Source organism: Homo sapiens, chromosome 5 (assembly GCF_000001405.40).
Source record: "Homo sapiens chromosome 5, GRCh38.p14 Primary Assembly".
NCBI lineage: Eukaryota > Metazoa > Chordata > Mammalia > Primates > Hominidae > Homo > Homo sapiens.
The window spans coordinates 70043191-70064550 of NC_000005.10; the positions used below are offsets into that span (position 1 = coordinate 70043191).

At 43.9% G+C, this 21360-nt stretch overlaps 1 protein-coding gene across 14 annotated transcripts in view, besides 2 other annotated features; it reads left to right on the top strand.

Annotated features, from left to right (window-relative positions):
- SMN2 (survival of motor neuron 2, centromeric) overlaps positions 6333-21360 on the top strand; it is a 41006-nt gene continuing 25978 nt past the window's right edge. For 12 of the 14 annotated variants that reach the window (XM_047417619.1, XM_047417620.1, XM_047417621.1 and 9 more), the window contains exons 1-2: positions 6333-6576; positions 20225-20296. In XM_047417619.1, coding sequence (XP_047273575.1) covers positions 6496-6576; positions 20225-20296 — 153 coding nt within the window. In that variant the 5' untranslated portion in view covers positions 6333-6495. The remainder of the gene's footprint in view (positions 6577-20224; positions 20297-21360) is intronic. The other 2 variants (NM_017411.4, NM_022875.3) reach the window with 1 other exon arrangement.
- Positions 12904-13543: an enhancer, noted in NCBI's record as "OCT4-NANOG-H3K27ac-H3K4me1 hESC enhancer chr5:69351921-69352560 (GRCh37/hg19 assembly coordinates)". NCBI's record gives its function as "activates a minimal SCP1, AML or CMV promoter by ChIP-STARR-seq in primed H9 embryonic stem cells {active_cell/tissue: H9 hESC(primed)}" and the evidence as "EXISTENCE:reporter gene assay evidence [ECO:0000049][PMID:30033119]".
- Positions 13544-14183: an enhancer, noted in NCBI's record as "OCT4-NANOG-H3K27ac hESC enhancer chr5:69352561-69353200 (GRCh37/hg19 assembly coordinates)". NCBI's record gives its function as "activates a minimal SCP1, AML or CMV promoter by ChIP-STARR-seq in naive H9 embryonic stem cells {active_cell/tissue: H9 hESC(naive)}" and the evidence as "EXISTENCE:reporter gene assay evidence [ECO:0000049][PMID:30033119]".

The following is a 21360-nucleotide window of genomic DNA, read 5'->3' on the forward strand; positions in this document are numbered from 1 at the left end:
GGACATCAGCACATAACCACAATGACATTGAAGCACAGGATCATTAGTCTATATTTTATTTTATTATTTTATTTATTTATTTATTTATTTTTGAGATGGAGTCTTGCTCTGTCGCCCAGGCTGGAGTGCAGTGGCACAATCTCGGCTCACTGCAAGCTCTGCTTCCCAGGTTCACGCCATTCTCCTGCCTCAGCCTCCCGAGTAGCTGGGACTACAGGTGCCCACCACCACACCCGGCTAATTTTTTGTACTTTTAGTAGAGATGGGGTTTCACTGTTTTAGCCAGGATGGTCTCGATCTCCTGACCTCATGATCCACCCGCCTTGGCCTCCCAAAGTGCTGGGATTATAGGTGTAAGTCACCATGCCCAGCCCATTAGTCTATATTTTTAAGTAAACATACCAATTAAGAAAGAAGCCAAAAACCAAAATTAGCCAGGTGTGGTGGCACGTGCCTGTAGTCCCAGCTACTTGGGAGGCTGAGGTGTGAGGATCACTTGAACTCAGGAGGCAGAGGTTGCAGTGACCCAAGATGGTGCCGCTGCACTCCAGCCTGGGTGACAGAGTGAGACCCTGTTTCCACAAAAAGAAAAAAAAAATAGCCGTGCCTGTACTTCAGTACTTACAAATTTAACTTTAGTATAGATGTACAGTAATTTATTCAATCATTTCCTTACTCATAGACAATTAGGATGTTGCAACTTTTGCCACTACAAACAATTCTGCGATGTGGATTATCGTACTTATTCCCATTTATTGGTGCTTTCATTTCTATAAGAATGGATTTTTAAAGATAGAATTCCTTGGGAATAGTTATGTCAAAGCCAAATATAATATAGAGACAAATCTCTAAAAACATTTTATTTGGTAAGCAAGAGCTGCAATTCATGGCATACACACAGACCGGGCTGATCATTGGTATGATCAGGAGAATAAAGGGAAGGTTGCGGCCAGGTGTGATAGCTCATGCCTGTAATCCCAGCACTTTGGGAGGCCGAGGCGGGCAGATCACCTGAGGTCAGGAGTTTGAGACCAGCCTGACCAACATGGAGAAACTCCGTCTCTACTAAAAATACAAAATTAGTTGGGCATAGTGGCGCATGCCTGAATCCCAGCTACTCAGGAGGCTGACACAGGAGAAATGCTTGAACCCGGGAGGTGAAGGTTGCAGTGAGCCGAGATCGCGCCATTGCACTCCAGCCTGGGCAACAAGAGCAAAATTCCATCTCAAAAAAAAAAAAGAGAAGGTTCCGGGTTTTATGAGAAAGAACAGTATTACATACTGTTTTGGAAGAAAGCTCATTCACACTAGAGCTTGTGGGAGCTAGCAAGCTCTGATTGGTGAGCGATGGTGGTAGGTAAAACCAGTCTTAGAGTCATGGCAGTTCATTTTAGCAGCTATTAGGTAAAACTGGTCTTAGGGATACAGAAGGCTGGTTCAGCAGTTGGACTTGTGGAAAATTTAATTCTTGAAGCAGATGCTGTGTGCCCCGAATGCTTCTTCCCCCTGGCCCTTCAACTCTGATTTAGTTGAGTATTTCAAGAATGACCCAATTTATGTAATCAACTTTCACAGGTATACATGTCTTAAACTTTAAACAGATGTTTTGGGTTTTGTTGTTGTTGTTTTTGAGACGGAGTCTCACTCTGTTGTCCAAGCTGGAGTGTAGTGGTGTGATCTCGGCTCACTGCAACCTCCGCCTCCAGGGTCAAGTGATTCTCCAGCCTCAGCCTCCTGAATAGCTGGGATTACAGGCGCCCGCCACCACGCCCAGCTAATTTTTGTATTTTTAGTAGAGATGGGGTGGGGTTTCACCATGTTGGCCAGGCTGGTCTTGAACTCCTGACATCAAGTGTTCTGCTCACCTCAGCCTCTGAAAGTGCTGGGATTACAGGCGTGAGCCACTGCGCCCGGCAGTCTTTCCTTCTTTTTTTTTTTTTTTTTTTTTTTTTTAATGACATGGGGTCTTACTTTATTACTCAGGCTGGTCTCAAACTTCTGGCCTCAAGGAATCTTCCCACCTTGGCCTCCCAAATTGCTGGGATTACAGGCATAAGTCATCATGCCTGGCTACAAACAGATATTTTCAATAAGAGGATAAAAGTTCATTTCCCCATACTTTGCTAACATCAAATGTTATTAATTCCTAATAGTTTTGCCAAACTGAGAGGAAAATGGTATGTTAGTTTTTCTGGGTTTTCTTTCTTTTTAATTTTTTTTCTTTTTTATTCATCGCAACACTATTCACGATTTTTTTATTTTTTATTTTATTTATTTATTTATTTTTTTTTGAGACAAGGTCTCCCTATGTTGCCCAGGCTGGTCTTGTACCCCTGGGCTCAAAGGATCCTCCTGCCTCAGCCTCCCAAAGTGCTAGGATTACAGGCATGAGTCACCACGCCTGGTTCACAATTTCTTTTTGTTTTTACCAAAGGCAGGTATATTCCTGAAATTTTTTGTTTTTTTGTTTTTTTTTTGAGATGAAGTCTCACCCTGTCACTCAGACTGGAGTGCACTGGCACGATCTCAGCTCACTGCAACCTCCGCTTCCTAGGTTCAAGCGATTCTCCTGCCTCAGTCTTCAAAGTAGCTAGGATTATAGGCGCCGCAACCATGCTCAGCTAATTTTTGTATTTTTAGTAGAGACAGGATTTCACCATGTTGGCCAGGGTGATCTCAAATCCTGACCTCAAGTGATCCGCCTGCCTCAGCCTCCCAAAGTGCTGGGATTACTGGCATGAGCCACCGTGCCAGGCCCTGAAATGTTATCTTAGTTATTAATTTGCAATTCCTTGGCTCTAGAGGTTGGGCATCTTCTCAGATCTCTAGTGGACATTTGGATTTTCTTTTTGGTGAACTGTCCAGTTTTTCTCTCTGCTTTACAATCTTTATTATATGCAATCTTCACATGTAGGTACTACCATTTTTTTAGTTTGTTTTTGAAACAGCATATTGCTCTGTTGCCCAGGCTGGAGCACGGTGGCAAAAACATGGCTTACTGCAGCCTTTGACCTCCTTGGCTCAAGTACTCCTCCTGTCTCAGCCTCCTGAGTAGCTGGTACCACAAGCCCATACCACCATGCCCAGCTAATTTATTTTTGTAGAGATGGGGCCTGACCATGTTACTTGGGCTCAAATGATCCTCTCCCACTCAGCCTCCCAAAGTGCTAGGATTACAGGCATGAGCCACCATACTTGGCCCCTTTTTTTTTTTTTTTTTTTTTTTTTTTTTTTTTTTTTTGAGACACAGTCTTGCTCTGTCTCACAGGCTGGTGTGCAGTGGCACGATCTCAGCTCATTGCAACCTCCACCTCCCAGTTTCAAGTGATTTTTGTGCCTCAGCCTCCCTAGTAGCTGAGATTACAGGCATGCACCACCATGCCTGGCTGACTTTCATATCTTTAGTGTTGCCATGTTGGCTAGGCTGGTCTCAAACTCCTGACCTCATGTGATCCACCTGCCTCGGACTCCCACAGTGCTGGGATTACAGGTGTTAGCCACCACCCCGACATTATTTGAAACTTTTATTTTATCATGAGAGAGTTCCAGGAGTCAACTGAAGAGAGATTTTTGGTATGAAAATTACATATGCAAAAAGACTGATTCCAGTACATGAAATTAAATTCAACATTTACATTAAATGCCTTCAAATATGGTAAAATGGTTTCTTTTGGCAGTTTACCTCATTATGTTTTGAATGATTTGTCTATCATATGAAATAACTTTTATAAATATAGTAACTCAGGCCTGGGCACAGCGGCTCAAGTGGGAGGACTGCTTAAGCAACCGAGTTTGAGACCAGCGTGGACAACATGGGGAGACCCCTTCTCTCCCAAAAAATAGCTGAGCATGGCAGCGCACTGTTAAAGGAAACAGAGTTTCTTTGGTGGGTGATTAAAATGTTCTGGAGTTAGATAGTAGTGATGGTTGCACAACCTTGTGAATATATTAAGGTTTCCGCTCTATCTACCATTCAATTGTACTCTCTAAAACGATTAATTCTATAGTATATCAATTATATCTCTAAATAATAAAAACAAAAAGAAATGGCTGGGTGCGGTGGCTCATGCCTGTAATCGCAGCACTTTGGGAGGCTGAGGCGGGCGGATCACAAGGTCAGGAGTTTGAGACCAACCTGACCAACATGGCAAAACCCAGTCTCTACTAAAAATACAAAAATTAGCTGGGTGTGGTGGCACACGCCTGTAATCCCAGGTACTCGGGAAGCTGAGACAGGAGAATCACTTGAACCCGGGAGGCAGAGGTTGCAGTGAGCCACTGCACTCCAGTCTGGGTGGCAGAGCGAGACTCCGTCTCAAAAAGAAAAAAATTAAAAAACAAAAAGAAACCTGGTTCTATATTTTGTTTAAATTTATTTTTTTAACCATCATGTAATATGTCCAGGTAATTTGTTTAAATTTTGACATCAAATGCAATTGTGAGAATTTTTATGATTCAGAAAAATCTAAGCAAGCTTTATAAAAACATACTTTTTTTTTTACTTTTTTTTTTTTTTCTGAGACACAGCCTCACTCTGTCGCCCAGGCTGGAGGGCAGGTTTTCATGTTTATCTGTGAGATGTACCTTTGGCACATTACTTTCCTGACATGAGATTTAAATTTTTTTTTTTATCTTGTGACAATTTAACTTTTTTGACACATAAAAATTGTACATATTTATTTGTTTGAGATGGAGTCGCACTCTGTCACTCAGGCTGGAGTGCAGTGGCGTGATCTTGGCTCACTGCAACCTCCGCCTCCCGAGTTCAAGTGATTCTCCTGGCTCAGCCTCCCAAGCAGCTGTCATTACAGGCCTGCACCACCACACCCGGCTGATTTTTGTATTTTTAGGAGAAACAGGGTTTCACCATGTTGGCCAGGCTGGTCTTGAAGTCCTGACCTCAAGTGATCCACCCACCTTGGCCTCCCAAAGTGCTGGGATTATAGGCATGAGCCACCGTACCAGACCCCTAAAAATTGTATATATTTAAGGTGTACCATTTGATGTTTAGATATACATTGTGAAATGATTACATTCCACATATTACCTCTACAGAGTTACCATTTTTGTACACTTGGTCAACATCATCCCATTCTCCCCTTCCTCCACAGATATTTCTTGTATACTATATAGAAGCCAAGGGTATTTTGGGGGAAGAGCTCAAAGTTCCTTTCGTGGAGTTAAAAATATATATATACTATGTACATATAAGCCATTTAGCAACCCTAGATGCTTAATAAAGAATACTGGAGGCCCGGTGTGGTGGCTCACACCTGTAATCCCAGCACTTTGGGAGGCCGAGGCGGTCGGATTACGAGGTCAGGAGTTCAAGACCAGCCTGGCCAACATGGTGAAACCCCATCTTTACTAAAAATACAAAAATTAGCCGGGTGTGGTGGTGGGCGCCTGTAATCCCAGCTACTCGGGGGGCTGAGGCAGAATTGCTTGAACCTGGGAGGCAGAGGTTGCAGTGAGCTGAGATCACGCCACTGCATTCCAGCCTGGGTGACAGAGCAATACTCTGTCGCAAAAAAAAAAAAGAATACTGGAGGCTGGGCGAGGTGGCTCACACCTGTAATCCCAGCATTTTGGGATGCCAGAGGCGGGCGGAATATCTTGAGCTCAGGAGTTCGAGACCAGCCTACACAATATGCTCCAAACGCCGCCTCTACAAAACATACAGAAACTAGCCGGGTGTGGTGGCGTGCCCCTGTGGTCCTAGCTACTTGGGAGGTTGAGGCGGGAGGATCGCTTGAGCTCGGGAGGTCGAGGCTGCAATGAGCCGAGATGGTGCCACTGCACTCTGACGACAGAGCGAGACTCCGTCTCAAAACAAACAACAAATAAGGTTGGGGGATCAAATATCTTCTAGTGTTTAAGGATCTGCCTTCCTTCCTGCCCCCATGTTTGTCTTTCCTTGTTTGTCTTTATATAGATCAAGCAGGTTTTAAATTCCTAGTAGGAGCTTACATTTACTTTTCCAAGGGGGAGGGGGAATAAATATCTACACACACACACACACACACACACACACACACACACTGGAGTTCGAGACGAGGCCTAAGCAACATGCCGAAACCCCGTCTCTACTAAATACAAAAAATAGCTGAGCTTGGTGGCGCACGCCTATAGTCCTAGCTACTGGGGAGGCTGAGGTGGGAGGATCGCTTGAGCCCAAGAAGTCGAGGCTGCAGTGAGCCGAGATCGCGCCGCTGCACTCCAGCCTGAGCGACAGGGCGAGGCTCTGTCTCAAAACAAACAAACAAAAAAAAAAGGAAAGGAAATATAACACAGTGAAATGAAAGGATTGAGAGAAATGAAAAATATACACGCCACAAATGTGGGAGGGCGATAACCACTCGTAGAAAGCGTGAGAAGTTACTACAAGCGGTCCTCCCGGCCACCGTACTGTTCCGCTCCCAGAAGCCCCGGGCGGCGGAAGTCGTCACTCTTAAGAAGGGACGGGGCCCCACGCTGCGCACCCGCGGGTTTGCTATGGCGATGAGCAGCGGCGGCAGTGGTGGCGGCGTCCCGGAGCAGGAGGATTCCGTGCTGTTCCGGCGCGGCACAGGCCAGGTGAGGTCGCAGCCAGTGCAGTCTCCCTATTAGCGCTCTCAGCACCCTTCTTCCGGCCCAACTCTCCTTCCGCAGCCTCGGGACAGCATCAAGTCGATCCGCTCACTGGAGTTGTGGTCCGCGTTTTTCTACGTCTTTTCCCACTCCGTTCCCTGCGAACCACATCCGCAAGCTCCTTCCTCGAGCAGTTTGGGCTCCTTGATAGCGTTGAGTGGAGGCCCTGCCGCGACTTGGCAGTAGCTTATTTTGTTCACTCCTCTCTGGCTGGTGTGGGGGAGGTGGGGGCATTAGGCCAGGGTGAAGCAGGGGAACCACTTAGGAGTCTGTTAAGATGATCTGAACTTCAGAACAAGATGTTATTAACAGAGTGAAAGTATTTGGATTCTGGGTATATTTTGAAATCGGAGGCAACAGGTTTTTCAGATAGATTCGATAACGGAGGTTATCCTGAATAGTTGAAAAGATAAAGTTGCCTTTTGCTGAGGTGGGAAAGAGAAGATTGCCAGTAGAGCAGGTTTCTCAGGAGTTCAGTCTTGGGCATAGCATGGTAGGGGTGAATTTGGCTGGAGTGAGTTGGAGAGTAGGAGAAGAGAAATCCAAGGCAACATTTGACCAGCCTGGGCAACATAGTGTGACTCCGAGTCTGCAAAAATTAGACGGGTGTTGTGGTGCGCGTCTGTGGTCTCAGCTACCTGGAAGGTTCAGGCCTTGGAAGGCTCAGGGAGGTGGAGGCTGCAGTGATCTGTGATTGCGCCTCTGCACTCCAGCCTGGGCGACAGAGCCAGACCCTGTCTTAAAACAAAATAAACGGCCGGGCGCGGTGGCTCAAGCCTGTAATCCCAGCACTTTGGGAGGCCGAGGCGGCCGGATCACAAGGTCAGGAGATCGAGACCATCCTGGCTAACACGGTGAAACCCCGTCTCTACTACAAATACAAAAAATTAGCCGGGCGTGGTGACGGGCGCCTGTAGTCCCAGCTACTCGGGAGGCTGAGGCAGGAGAATGTCATGAAGCCGGGAGGCGGAGCTTGCAGTGAGCCGAGATCGCGCCACTGCACTCCAGCCTGGGCGATAGAGCAAGACTCCGTCTCAAATAAATAAATAAATAAATAAATAAATAATAAAAACATCGGTAGGCATATTTCAAGGAATTCTATTTAAAAAAAATTTTTTTAGAGACAAGTTCGCTCTCTGTGGCCCAGGCTGGAGTACAGTGGCATGATCCTAGCCCATGGCAGCGTTGATCTCTTGGCCTCAAGCGACCCTCCTTTGGAGTCGCTGGGCCTAAAGGAGTGAGCCACCACGAAATTTTATTATAAATGGAGGGTAGAGAAATTGGGCAATAAATGGAGGGGGAAGTGAGTTAAGAGGAATTTTAATTATGTGTGTGTGGTTTTAAAAGAGGGGGGTCTTGCTCTGTTGCCCAGGCTGCTGGGGTGCCAGTGGCGCAATCATGAATCACTACAGCCTTGGACTCCTGGCCTCAAGCTATCCTCCCACCTCTGCCTCCCAAAGTACTGGGATTACTAGTGTGAGCCACTGCACTAAGATAGGAGCAACATGTTTCAGCATGTTTGTGGGTTGATAGGAAAGATGAGAATGGGAAAGTTGATGTCGGAAAGAAGACAATGGCTAGAGCAATGTCCTAGAGTAGGTAAGAAGGGATGGATTTGGCCTTTGTTGGAAACATTAGCGGTTCTTTTGGTGACAGCTATATAGTTAACACATCTATGATACGTGAATGGGCAGATAGGATGGCAGGAGATTTTGAAAGTTCTCTTGATTCTTACTGTTCTCTTAGTGAAAGAAGCAAGGTTATCAGCTAGAAGCTGGGATGGGAGAGGAAAGAGAAGATGGGAAGTAGATAGTTCTTTAGAAGAGTGGGCAAGGGTTGGACTAGGGAAGTTTAGTGGAAATATTGCTAGGCAACATAAAGAGCCTACTTGAGATTCGTGGTCATGAGTTGAAGGAGACCAGACAGCAAGATTGTGTATGAGGGCACCCACAGAGTAAATGGAGAGTTGAAATTAATGCAGTTGTGATTTTACCACGTGGATATGAAGAAGTGAGGGGGAGAAGTACAAAGGAGTTCTCTTAATGATTGACCATGGAATTTAAGCTGGCTAAGAAAGGAAGTGAGAGGCCGGGCGCGGTGGCTCACGCCTGTAATCCCAGCACTTTGGGAGACTGAGGTGGGTGGATTACCTGAGGTCAGGAGTTTGAGACCAACCTGGCCGATATGGCGAAACCCCATCTCTAATAAAAATACAGAAAAATTAGCCGGGAATGGTGGCAGGTGCCTGTAATCCCAGCTACTCAAGAGGCTGTGGCAGGAGTATCCCTTGGACCCAGGAGGTGGAGGTTGCAGTGAGCCGAGATCACGCCACTGTACTCCAGCCTGGACGATATAGTGAGACTTCACCTCAAAAAAAAAAAAAAAGAAAGGAAGTGAGGATTTTAAGACCCTGAGAGACAGTTTAAAAAGTGGGAGGATCGGCCGGGCGCTGTGGCTGACACCTGTAATCCCAGCACTTTGGGAGGCCGAGTTGGGCAGATCACAAGGTCAGGAGTTCGAGACCAGCCTGGCCAATATGGTGAAACCTTGTCTCTACTAAAAATACAAAAATTAGCCGGGCATGGTGTCACGTGTCTATAATCCCAGCTACTCGGGAGGCTGAGGCAGAAAAATTGCTTGAACCTGGGAGGCAGAGGTTGCAGACAGCTGAGATCACTCCATTGCACTCCAGCCTGGGCAACAAGAGCAAAACTTTGTCTTTAAAAAAAAAAAAAAAAAAAGAATACAAAAATTAGCCGGGCGTGGTGGCGCGTGCCTATAATCCCAGCTACTTGGGAGGCTGAGGCAGGAGAATCAGTTGAACACGGGAGGCGAGGTTTGCAGTGAGCCGAGATTGCGCCACTGCACTCCAGCCTGGGCGACAGAGCAGGACTCCTCTTGGAAAAAAAAAATTAGCTGGGCATGGTGGCAGGTGCCTGTAGTCTCAGCTACTAGGGAGGCTGAGGCAGGAAAATCACTTGAACCCGGGATGTGGAGTTTGCAGTGACCCGAGATCGTGCCACTGTACTCCATCCTGGGCGACAAAATGAGACTCTGCCTCAAAAAAAAAAAAAAAAAAAAGTGGGAGGATCAATGTACTGCCAGTCCTAATGAAGTGGAATGATTGTCCCCATCAAATCACTAGTAGGAGTAAGTTGCAGAGCCTAGAAGGTGATGGTTAAGAGAGTGGGATTCTTGAAACTGCATTTATGGAGAGGTTGTGGTTATTGGTTATAATAAATAAATACAGTTGAAGTGAGTGAGTAGCTGAGATTTGGGGATGTATCAGTTCATTCTTACACTGCTACAAAGACATACCTGAGACCAGGTATTTATAAAGATAAGAGGTTTAATCAGCTCACAGTTCTGCTGCCTGTACAGGCTTCTCTTGTGGAGGCCTAAGGAAACTTACAGTCATGGTGGAAGGTGAAGGGGAAACAAGCACAGTCTTCACATGGCCAGCAGGAGAGAGAGAGAAGGGGGAAGTGCTACATACTTTAAAACAACCAGATCTTGTGAGAACGCTTATCAGGAAACAGCACTTGGGGATGGTGCTAAATCATTAGAAATCACCCCCATGATCCAGTCGCCTCCTACCATGCCCACCTCCAACACTGGGGATCACAATTCAGCATGAGATTTGGGTAGGAACACAGAGCTGCACCACATCAGAGGATGTACAAGATTGTGGTGGAGAGGAGTTTAGAGACCTGCAAATATAGGGTAATTGAAGGGATCATCTACATGGATATTTAAATCACCAAAAATTATGACAGGAGTAGTGTTGGAGAGAGAACTGCGATGTAAACATTAAGGAATGAGGAAGAGTGACTCGGTAGGCTGTAGGTGACTGCAATAGGAAACGATAATAGACTGTGAGTCTGGTGACAAGATTTTCCTTCTTTCTTTTTTTCCCCCCCCCCGAGACAGGGCCTCTTTTTGTTGCCCAGGTGGGAGTGCAGTGGCGCGATCACGGCTCACTACAACCTCCTCCCAAGCTCAAGGGATTCTCCCACTTCAGCCTCTCAAGTAGCTGGAACTACAGGTGCTGACCACCATGCCTGGCTACTTTTTGTCAGGATTTTCAAGGCTGGGAATTTTGAGAGGGGAATGGAGGAGAATAATCTGAAAGTGCAAGTAAGGAGCAGGGAAGATTTCTTTTTTCTTTTTTTTTTTTTTTTTTGAGTCGGAGTCTGGCTCAGTCGCCCAGGCTGGAGTGCAGTGGCGAGATCTCCGCTCACTGCAAGCTCCGCCTCCCGTGTTCACGCCATTCTCCTCCTTCAGCCTCCCGAGTAGCTGGGACTACAGGCGCCCGCCACCACGCCCAGCTAATTGTTTTTTTGTATTTTTAGTAGAGACGGGGTTTCACCGTGTTAGCCAGGATGGTCTCAATCTCCTGACTTTGTGATCCGCCCACCCCGGCCTCCCAAAGCGCTTGGGATTACAGGCGTGAGCCACCGCGCCAGCCAGAGCAGGGAAGATTTCTTCCCCACATCTCCAGTAGGTACAGTGATATGAAGTGTGTGGAGGAGAAAAGAGGAAACATCTATCATTTGAGATGGCTGCGAAAGGAAAAGGCATCCTCAGGGAGCTAGATTTTACTTAGAGCAAGAAATGAAGGGATGATTCAGAGGTTAAAAGAGTGGATTTTATGAATTACTCAAGGGAGCACAGTGGAAGTTTCAGGAAGTGGTAGGAGAAGGTAGAAGATGGCAGGGTGTTGGGAATAATTTGAGAAATCTGAGCTACTGGAAATGACTGAGAATCAGATATAAAGGCAGTCCTGGTGGTCCGTTCTGGCTGCCGTTGCTGTGTAACGAATCTGCCAAAACTTAGTGGCTTGAAACAACAAAGAACATTTTATTATCTCTCATTGTTTCTGTGGGTTAGGAATTTGTGAGAGCCGTGCTGGGCAGTTTTCGTGCGGCTGTCTCGTGGTTGCACCTACATAGTTGCTAGAGCTACAGTAGCTGGGGACTGAGCAGCTAGGGATTGGCAGGCTATCTCTTTTTTTCATGTAGTCTCATGAAGATTTCTTTATGTGGTTTCAATGTGTGGGCTGGTTTGGATTTCCTTATAGCATGGTGGCCTCAGTTGGATTGCTGTTTTGTGATCCTTTTCATCCCTCCTTGTCCTGTCCCCAGACAACCACTGATCTACTTTCTGTCACCATAGATTAGCCTGCATTTTTAAGAATTTTTATAAACGTGGAATGATAGAGTACCTTTTTTGTCACGTTTCTTTTATTTATCATAGCTATTTTGATTTTCATCCATTTTATTGCTGAGTAGTATCCCATTGCATGTATATACTATACTGTATTCATTCGCTTGCTTGTGAACATTTGGGCTTTTTCCAGTTTGGGACTGTTAACAAGTAGAGCCACTATGAATATTAGTGTATAAGACTTCATATAGCCAAGGCTGGCAGATCGCTTGAGCCCAGGAGTTTGAGACCAGCCTGGGAAACATGGTGAAACCTCTATTTTTATTTTAAAATCAAAAATTAAAAATTTTCTATAAAAAATTTTAAAGAAGACTTTGTATAGACATACGCTTTCATTTTTCTTGAGTGAATACTTAGGTCTCAGGGTAGATGTATTTTAAGTCTTTAAGGAGCTGTCAAACTCTTCCTCAAAGTGGTGGTTGTACCATGTTACTTTTTAATATAACAGAGATTAATTGAGCAAAGAAAAATTCAAAAGTTGGACAGCCCCCACAACTAAATAGGTTCAGAACAGCTCCCCCATTTTGCATTTTGACCAGCAATGTATGAAAGTTCCATTTGCTCAGTGTCCCTGCAAACACCTGGTATGGTCAGTCTTTTTAATTTTAGGCATTATAATAGATATAGTGGCTTCTTGTGATTTTAATTAGCATTTCCTAATGACCAGTGCTGCTGTTGATCATTTCATGAGTGTATTTGCCATCCGTATATCTTTTTTGGTGAAGTGTCTATTCAAATCATTTGGGTTTTTTTTTTTTTTGTTTTTTTTTTTTGGAGACAGTGTCTCACTCTGTCACCCAGGCTGTTGTGCAGTGGTGCAATCACACAGCCTACTGCAGCCTCCACCTCCTGCGCTCAGTCTTCTTGTCTCAGCCTTCTGAGTAGCTGAAATTACGAGCACACGCCACAATGCCTGGCTAATTTTTTAAAATTTTGTAGAAACAAGGTCTCATTATGTTGCCTGGGCTTGTCGTGAACTCCTGGGCTCAAGCAATCTTCCTGCCTCAGCCTCCCAAAGATTGGGATTGCAAGTATGAGCCACTGCACCCGGCCAACTTACCCATCTTTTAATTGAATTTTTTTGTTGTTGAGGTTTGAGAGTTCTTCATGTTTGCTGGGTACAATATCTTTATCAGATAGGTAACTTGCATGTATTTTCTCCCGGTTTACACTTTGGTTTTTCATTTTGTTAACAACGTCTTTTTAAGAACAGAAAATCTTAATTTTGCTGAAATCTAATTTTTCAGTTTTTTCTTTGATGGTTTTGAGAGAGGAGGTAAAAAAAGACTAGGTAAGCCGATAGTTAGACAGAGTCCTCGGTAGAACTTCCCTTCTAACAAAAAGCAGCCCAAGAAATCACTTCTCTTCTAACAAGGAGCAGCCTGGAAGATCGGGCTGTAAACATGTATAAGGAAGCAGCTCTGGCACAGAGGGGGAGCTTCCTGGGTAATCAGCAAGCTTCACATACGTAAGGTGGGTATGTGAAGTAAACACAGTATGTGAAGTAAACACAGTGGACCTTAGTACATACTCAGATAAGGAAGCTGGAAGCTTGCATGTTGTGAGTTGTTGGGGTTGCCTGCAGCTGCACGGAGAGAAAGGGGTACCTGGGGCCAGGCATGTCCACCATGGTGGCTCCACCTCCCCTTATTTAGCACATGCACAATAGGAAAGAGATAAGCAATGTGGAGTAGCTCAGGCCAAGGACCTGCCTGCATAATAAAAGGTTGGGGTGGGGGATGCCAGAGATTCACGCTCTGTGCAGATGGCAACACCTGGTCCTAACTGGTTTTTTGCTCCCTATGTGTAGATAAGCTACCCCCTTCCCATTAGCTCATTTATAAAAATGCTTGCATTTCACTGTGGAATGGGAACTCTTTTCAGGACCTCTCTCTGCAGGAGAGAGCTAGTCTCTTTCTTTTGCCTATTAAACTTCTGCTCTAGCCTCACACCCTTGGTGTGTCAGCGTCCTTGATTTCCTCAGCGTGAGACCAAGAACCTCGGGTGCCACCCCAGGCAACAAGGCCATTTCAGTTTGTTCTTTTGTTATAGGCAATCCATGATCACAGATTTTTCTCTCTTTTTTTTTTTTACACAGTTTAGAGTTTTAGTTTTACACTTAGGTCTGTAATCCATTTTGTATTAATTCTTATATGTGGCTCAGTGTAGGTGGAAATTTGGTTTGTTTTTGCATAAGGATTTCCAATAGTTTTACCACCATTTCTTGAAACTACTATGCTTTCTCTATTAAACCACATTTGTAACTTTAGTTAAAATCAGTCACATATATCACAGGGCTATTTCTGACTCTCAATTCTGTTACATTGTCTATTAGTGTATATTGATGTCAGTACTACACTTTTAATTACTATTGCTTCAGGGTATGTCTTGTAAACCAAAAATAAAATTATAGGCCCCCCCCGCCCCTGCACAACCAACTGAATGGACCCATCCTCTCAGCCAAGGGCATTCCAAAATTAACCTGAAAAACTAGTTCAAGCCATGATGGGAAGGGGGAGTTGGACATGTCTCATCACACCCTACTACCTTTTGGAATTACTGATAGAACAGACTCTTAAAGTCTGAAAAGAAACATTTACAACCTACCCTCTCTGAAGCCTGCTACCTGGGAGCTTCATCTGCATGATAAAACCTTGGTCTCCACAACCCCTTATGGTAACCCAAACATTCCTTTCTGTTGATAATAACTCTTTCAACTAGTTGCCAATTAGAAAATCTTTAAATCTTCCTATGACCTAGAAACCTCCCTACCCCCACTTTGAGTTGTCCTGCCTTTCCTGACAGAACTCATGTACATCTTACATATATTGATTGATGCCTCATGTCTCCCTAAAATGTATAAAACAAAGCTGTACCCCACCACCTTGGGGACATGTCATCAGGACCTCCTGTGGCTGTGTCATAGGAGCGTCTTTAACTTTGGCAAAATAAACTTTCTAAATTGATTGAAACCTGTCTTAGCTACTTCTGGTTTACAGTCTTAAAGTTAGATAATGTAAATTGTCCAGCTTTGGTTTATTTTTGTCCTTAGTAGTTCCATATAAATTTTAGAATCAGCTTTTCAATTTAATACACTACTTTCCTCTTAGATCCACAATTAAATATATTTGATGCTAACAATTCTGTTTTATGTTTTTCGTTTTTTTTTTTTGAGACAAGAGTTTCGCTCTTGTTGCCCAGGCTGGAGTGCAGTGGCGCGATCTTGGCTCACCACAACCTCCACCTCCCAGGTTCAAGCAATTCTTCTGCCTCAGCCTCCCGAGTAGCTGGGATTACAGGCATGCGCCACCACGCCCGGCTAATTTTGTATTTTTAGTAGAGACGGGGTTTCACCATGTTGATCAGGCTGGTCTTGAACTCCTGACCTCAGGTGATCCACCCACCTCGGCCTCCCAAAGTGTTGGGATTACAGGCGTGAACCACCATGCCTGGCCAGTTCTGTTATTTTTAAAACCCAAGTTTCCCTGGTCATATCTTGGTTGGATGAAGCGTATTTTCAATAGATTACCCTGGAAAGGCTAGTGAGTACGGTATTCTTCTACATTTTAGACTTTTCTTAGTCTTGCTACTTCAAGGACAGCTAGGCTGCATATAAAATTCTTGGCTCATACTTTTTCCCCATAAATTTCTATGAGAAAGTCTAATGATAACTGATTTTCTTTATTTTGTAACTTAGTCTTTTTGCTTAGAGGCTCTCTGAGGATGGGAGGGGGTTCTTCCTCCCATCCCTAGGAATTTTTCTTTTTTTTAAATTCCTAATCACTAGACCACCAGGAAGATTGTTTGTTTTGTTTTGTTTTTATTCTTCAGGGACCCCATTTATACATACGTTAAATAAATACTGTTTGCCAATGTATCAACCATTTTGCTTCTTATTTATTTTTGTTCCTTTGGTTCTTTTTCATGGCTTTGCTTTGGTGCTCCTTAGATTTTCAGTCAGATGTATTTGTCCTTGGGTACCTTGTAATCAGTATTACCTTTTCTTCTGTCGCTTTGTTTTCTGTTCGTTTTGAAATTACTTGTTTCCTGGTCTGGCAATAACAGTTGAGATATGAGGAGTTTGAGCTGCCATCTGTCTATGTATCTTGCTTTAAGACTGCACTCTTCTATTGATATCACTGGCCTTGATTTTGTGATTTCTTTATTTCTTCAGGACCACCCTTCATTTTCTACTGTTTGCTTCCTTTTTTTTTGAGATGGAGTCTCACTCTGTCACTCAGGCTGGAGTGCAGTGATCTTGGCTCATTGCAACCTCTGCCTCCCGGGTTCCAGCAATTCTCCTGCCTCAGCCTCCCAAGTATCTGGGACTACAGGTGTGCACCACCATGCCCGGCTAAGTTTTGTATTTTTAATAGAGACGGGGTTTTGCCACATTGGCAGGCTGGTCTCAAACTCCTGATGTCAAGTGATCCACCCACCCCACCCACCTCTGCATCCCAAAGTGCTGGGATTACAGGAATGAGCTGCCGTGCCCAGCCTCCCCCCTACCCCCCTTTTTTTCTTTCGAGACAGAGATTATAGGTGTGAGCCACTGGACCCAGCCTGTTTTTATTCCTTTTACCAAATCTCCAAGGAATATCTTCCCTTCCAAGTGCGAATGTAACCTTAAGTCAGTTAACCTCTTTGTGATTACTTTTCTTATCTGCAAAGTGACTTAATGATCTTAAGTACTTTTTTTTTTTGAGACAGGGTCTCACTGTCACCCTGGCTGGAGTGCAGTGGCACGATCTCTGATCTCCACTCACTGCAATCTCCTCTTCCCTGGTTCAAGCGGCCCTCCCACCTTAGCCTTCTGGGTAGCTGGGACTACAGATGTGAACCACCACGCCCAGCTAATTTTTGTACTTTTTGTAGAGATGGGGTTTTGCCATGTTGCCCAGGCTGGGATTATTAAGTACTTTTTATCATACAGCAAGATTGACATTTTATATTGGAATACATTTGTCTCTATATAACGGAGATTAACAGGAAAATGACAAGCCTGGGTGCGGTGGCTCATGCCTGTAATCCCAGCACTTTGGGAGGCTGAGGTGGGAGGATCACTTGAGGTCAGGAGTTCGAGACCAGTTTTGCCAAGATGATGAAAGCCCATGTCTACTAAAAATACAAAAATTAGCCCAGCTTGATGGTGGGCGCCTATAATCCCAGCTATTTGAGAGACTGAGGCAGGAGAATCACTTGAACCTGGGCAGCAGAGGTTGCAGTGAGCCGAGATCATGCCACTGCACTCCAGCCTGGGTGGCATAGCGAGACTCTTGTCTCAAGAGAAAACAAAACAAAACAAAAAAAAAACAGGAAAATGACAAAAAGTAATATTACAACTCAGTGAATTTTATAACAAACTTTTTTGGAATTCATTGACTAATACTATACCAAATCCAAAATACTCTCTAGTATACCAAATCCAACTCTACCCTATAGTATAAATTGGATTCTATTTGGACTTGTCTCACTAATCCCTCATACAGTGTGTTTTATTTTTTATTGAAGTAAAAAAATTTGTCATTTTAACCATTTTTAAGTATATAGTTCAGTAATATTAAGTATGTTCATGTTGTTGCGCAATAGATCTTCGGAAGTTTTTCGTCTTGCAACCTGAAACTCTACCCATTAGCAAATTCCCATTTCTCCTTACACTTAGCCCTTGGTAATCATCATTCTTTTTTTTTTTTTTTTGAGATGGAGTTTTACTCTTGTTGCCCAGGCTGGAGTGCAATGGTGCAATCTCGACTCACCACAACCTCCGCCTCCCAGGTTCAAGCAATTCTACCTCAGCCTCCCGAGTAGCTGGGATTACAGTCATGCACCACCACGCCCGGCTAATTTTGTATTTTTAGTAGAGAAGGGGTTTCTCCATGTTGAGGCTGGTCTCGAACTCCTGACCTCAGGTGATCTGCCCACCTCGGCCTCCCAAAGTGCTGGGATTACAGGCGTGAGCCACTGCGCCTGGCCCATTCTTTCTAATTCTATAAATTTGACTACTTAGTTACCTTACATAAATAAATTCTTATAGTTAGTGTTATTTTTGCTTCCATGCCTTTTTTGTTGTTGTTCATGCTCTTACTTGGAATGCGTTCTATTTTGTCTACCTATGCACATCCTGTTGGGTTTTTTTTTTTTTTGGGGGTTTTTTTTGTTTTTTTTTGTTTTTTTTTCCCAGACAAGGTCTCAATTTGTTACCCAGGCTGGAGTGCAGCGGCGCCATCTCCACTCACTGCATCCTCAACTTCCTGGGCCCAGGTGATCCTCTCGCCTCAGCCCCTGCAGGTAGCTGGGACTATAGGCATGTGCCACCATGCCCAGCTAAATTTGGTTTTTTTGTTTGTTTGTTTTTGAGACAGAGTCTCACTCTGTCACCCAGGCTGGAGTGCAGTGGCACAATCTCAGCTCACTGCAATCTCTGCCGCCCGGGTTCAAGTGATTCTCCTGCCTCAGCCTCCCAAGCAGCTGGGATTACAGGTGACTGCCACCACGCCAGCTAAGTTTTGTAGTTTTAGTAGAGATGGGGTTTCACCTTGTTGGCCATGCTGGTCTCGAACTCCTGACCTCGTGATCTGCCTGCTTCTGCCTCCCAAAGTGCTGGAATTACAGGCATGAGCCACCACGCCCGGCCAGAATTTTTGTATTTTTAGTAGACACAAGGTTCTTACCCTGTTGCCTAGGCTGGTCTGGAAGTCCTGGACTCAAGCAATTCACCTGCCTTGGCCTCCCAAAATGCTGGGATTACAAGCCACCATGCCCGGCCTAAATCCTGTTGTTTTGTTTTGTTTTATTTTGTTTTGTTTTGTTTTGTTTGTTTTTTGAGACAGAGTCTCGCTATGTCTCTCAGGCTGTAGTGCAGTGGCGCGATCTTGGCTCACTGCCACCTCTGCCTCCCAGGTTCAAGTGATTCTCCTGCCTCAGCCTCCCAAGTAGCTGGGATTACAGGCATGTGCTACTATGTCCGGCTAATTTTTGTATTTTTAGTAGAGACAGGGTTTCACCATGTTGGCCAGGCTGGTCTCGAACTCCTGACCTCGTGATCCACCCACCTCGGCCACCCAAAGTGCTGGGATTACAGGCGTGAGTGGTTTTTATTTCTTAGGCCGGTTTCCTCCATATGATCTTGCAGTAGACATTAATTTCTTTCCTTTTTAATTAAAATACTGTTTGTATTTCACATTTTGATGTTTGTTAAGATTTGTTTTATATTGTTTTTTGTTTTGTCTTGTGTGATAGTCTTAAATCCCTAGTTAGATAATAACTGGAGAGTACCATGTTTCTATATATCTCTCAGTGACTTGCACAGTGCTAGCAGATAGTGCTAAAAAATTATTTATTATTATTATTATTTTGTTATTGTTGTTGTTGTTGTTAGACAGGGTCTTCCTCTGTCACCCAGGCTAGAGGGCAATGGGATGATCATAGCTTACTGCAGCCTCCAACAACTGGGCTCATGTAATTCTCCTGCCTCAGCTTCCCAAGTAGCTGGGATTACAGGCATGAGCCACCATGTCTGGACAAAAATATTTCCAGGTGCAGTGGCTCATGCCTGTAATTCCCACACTTGGGAGGCCGAGCGAGGCTGGAGGATCACTTGAGCCTAGGAGTTCAAGACCAGCTTGGCTAAGATGGCGAGACCCCGTCCCTACAAAAAATTTTAAAAACTAGCCAGGCATGGTGGCATGCACCTATATTCCCAACTACTCAGTGGGCTGAGGTGGGAGGGTCATTTGAACACAGGAATTTGAGGGGAGAAAAAAAGAAGAGAGAAAGAGAAGTGAAGGAAGGAAGAAAGGAAGGAGGGAGGGAGAGAAGAAAGAAACGAAAGAAAGGAAAAGAAAAGGAAGGAAAGAAAATTGGTACCAGGAAAGCAGGAAAGGGAAATGGAAGTAAAAAAATAATAATAATAATAAAATGAAAATTGGTTAGTCACTATTAACAATTTGTATCCTTATAATCTGGAAACATTATAATTTCAAAAGAAAAAATATTCTTTGGATCATAGGTTCTGAGGTCAGAACAGCATTCCCGTAGTCTAGATGAAGTCAAGTTTTATCTGATCTTAATTGAAATAAATATAGCTGGCCTTGAACAAATCTACTCATGGTATGTGGATAGGAATTAAATTGTAGGGGCATTCACTTGATGGCATTCATTCTTAGAACATTTACCTATGTCTAGCTTTTGGAGTAAAGTCACATAACCTCTAACCAGGTAAGTTTCCTGTGGCTTTATTTAGGATTTTAAATACTCATTTTCAGTGTAATTTTGTTATGTGTGGATTAAGATGACTCTTGGTACTAACATACATTTTCTGATTAAACCTATCTGAACATGAGTTGTTTTTATTTCTTACCCTTTCCAGAGCGATGATTCTGACATTTGGGATGATACAGCACTGATAAAAGCATATGATAAAGCTGTGGCTTCATTTAAGGTATGAAATGCTTGCTTAGTCGTTTTCTTATTTTCTCGTTATTCATTTGGAAAGGAATTGATAACATACGATAAAGTGTTAAAGTACATGTTATTCAGTTTTCATTTTGAAGATTAGATGGTAGTATGAGTTAGTTAAATCAGGTGATATCCTCCTTTAGAAGTTGATAGCCTATATATGTCATCCTTTGTGGAGGCAATTTAAATAAAATTTAAAACATTTATTCCTGGCTGGGTATGGTGGCTCACTCCTGTAATCCCAGCACTTTGAGAGGCTGAGGCGGGTGGATCACCTGAGGTCAGGAGTTTGAGACCAGCCTGGCCAACATGGTGAAACCCCGTCTTTACTAAAAATACAAAAATTAGCCAAGCATGGTGGCACGTGCCTGTAATCCCAGCTGCTTGGGACACTGAGGCAGGAGAATTGCTTGAACCTGGGGGGCAGAGGTTGCAATGATTGCACCACTGCACTCCAGCCTGGGCGATAGAGTGAGACTCCATCTCAGAAAACGAACAAACAATGTATTCCTTTTAGTATTTTTACATTGTATCAAACTATGGAAGTCCTCTAATTGAGATTAATAAGAAAAAGACAATCTGAATTATAATTTTAAACATTTAACAAGCATGTAGTAAAATAATGATGAAGATAAATAGCATTAGTACAGCAATTAATATTTGTAGCATGCTGACAGTGCTCTGTGTGCGTTTCATATATTAAATTACTCTAATCATCCCAAATCCTGTAAGTTGGGTATCAATTCAAGTGTTCCTATTGGGTAGGAATATACAGTTCTTTTAGGAAATGTAGTATGGTTCTGTGTCTCAAACAGGACACTTACACAGTTGGCCAACATCATCACCTTCTCCATTCTCTGAGATGTTTAGTCTTACTGAGCACTAAATATGGGTCATCAATAGTCCAGACTACCTTGAGCAAACAATAGTCCAGACTACCTTGAGCAAACAGAGCATATACTCATACAGTGTATAAAGAGCACCAAGCATACAGATTTCATGTCTTTCTCATAGTTACTCTTGTAACATGAGCTAAAGATCAGACCT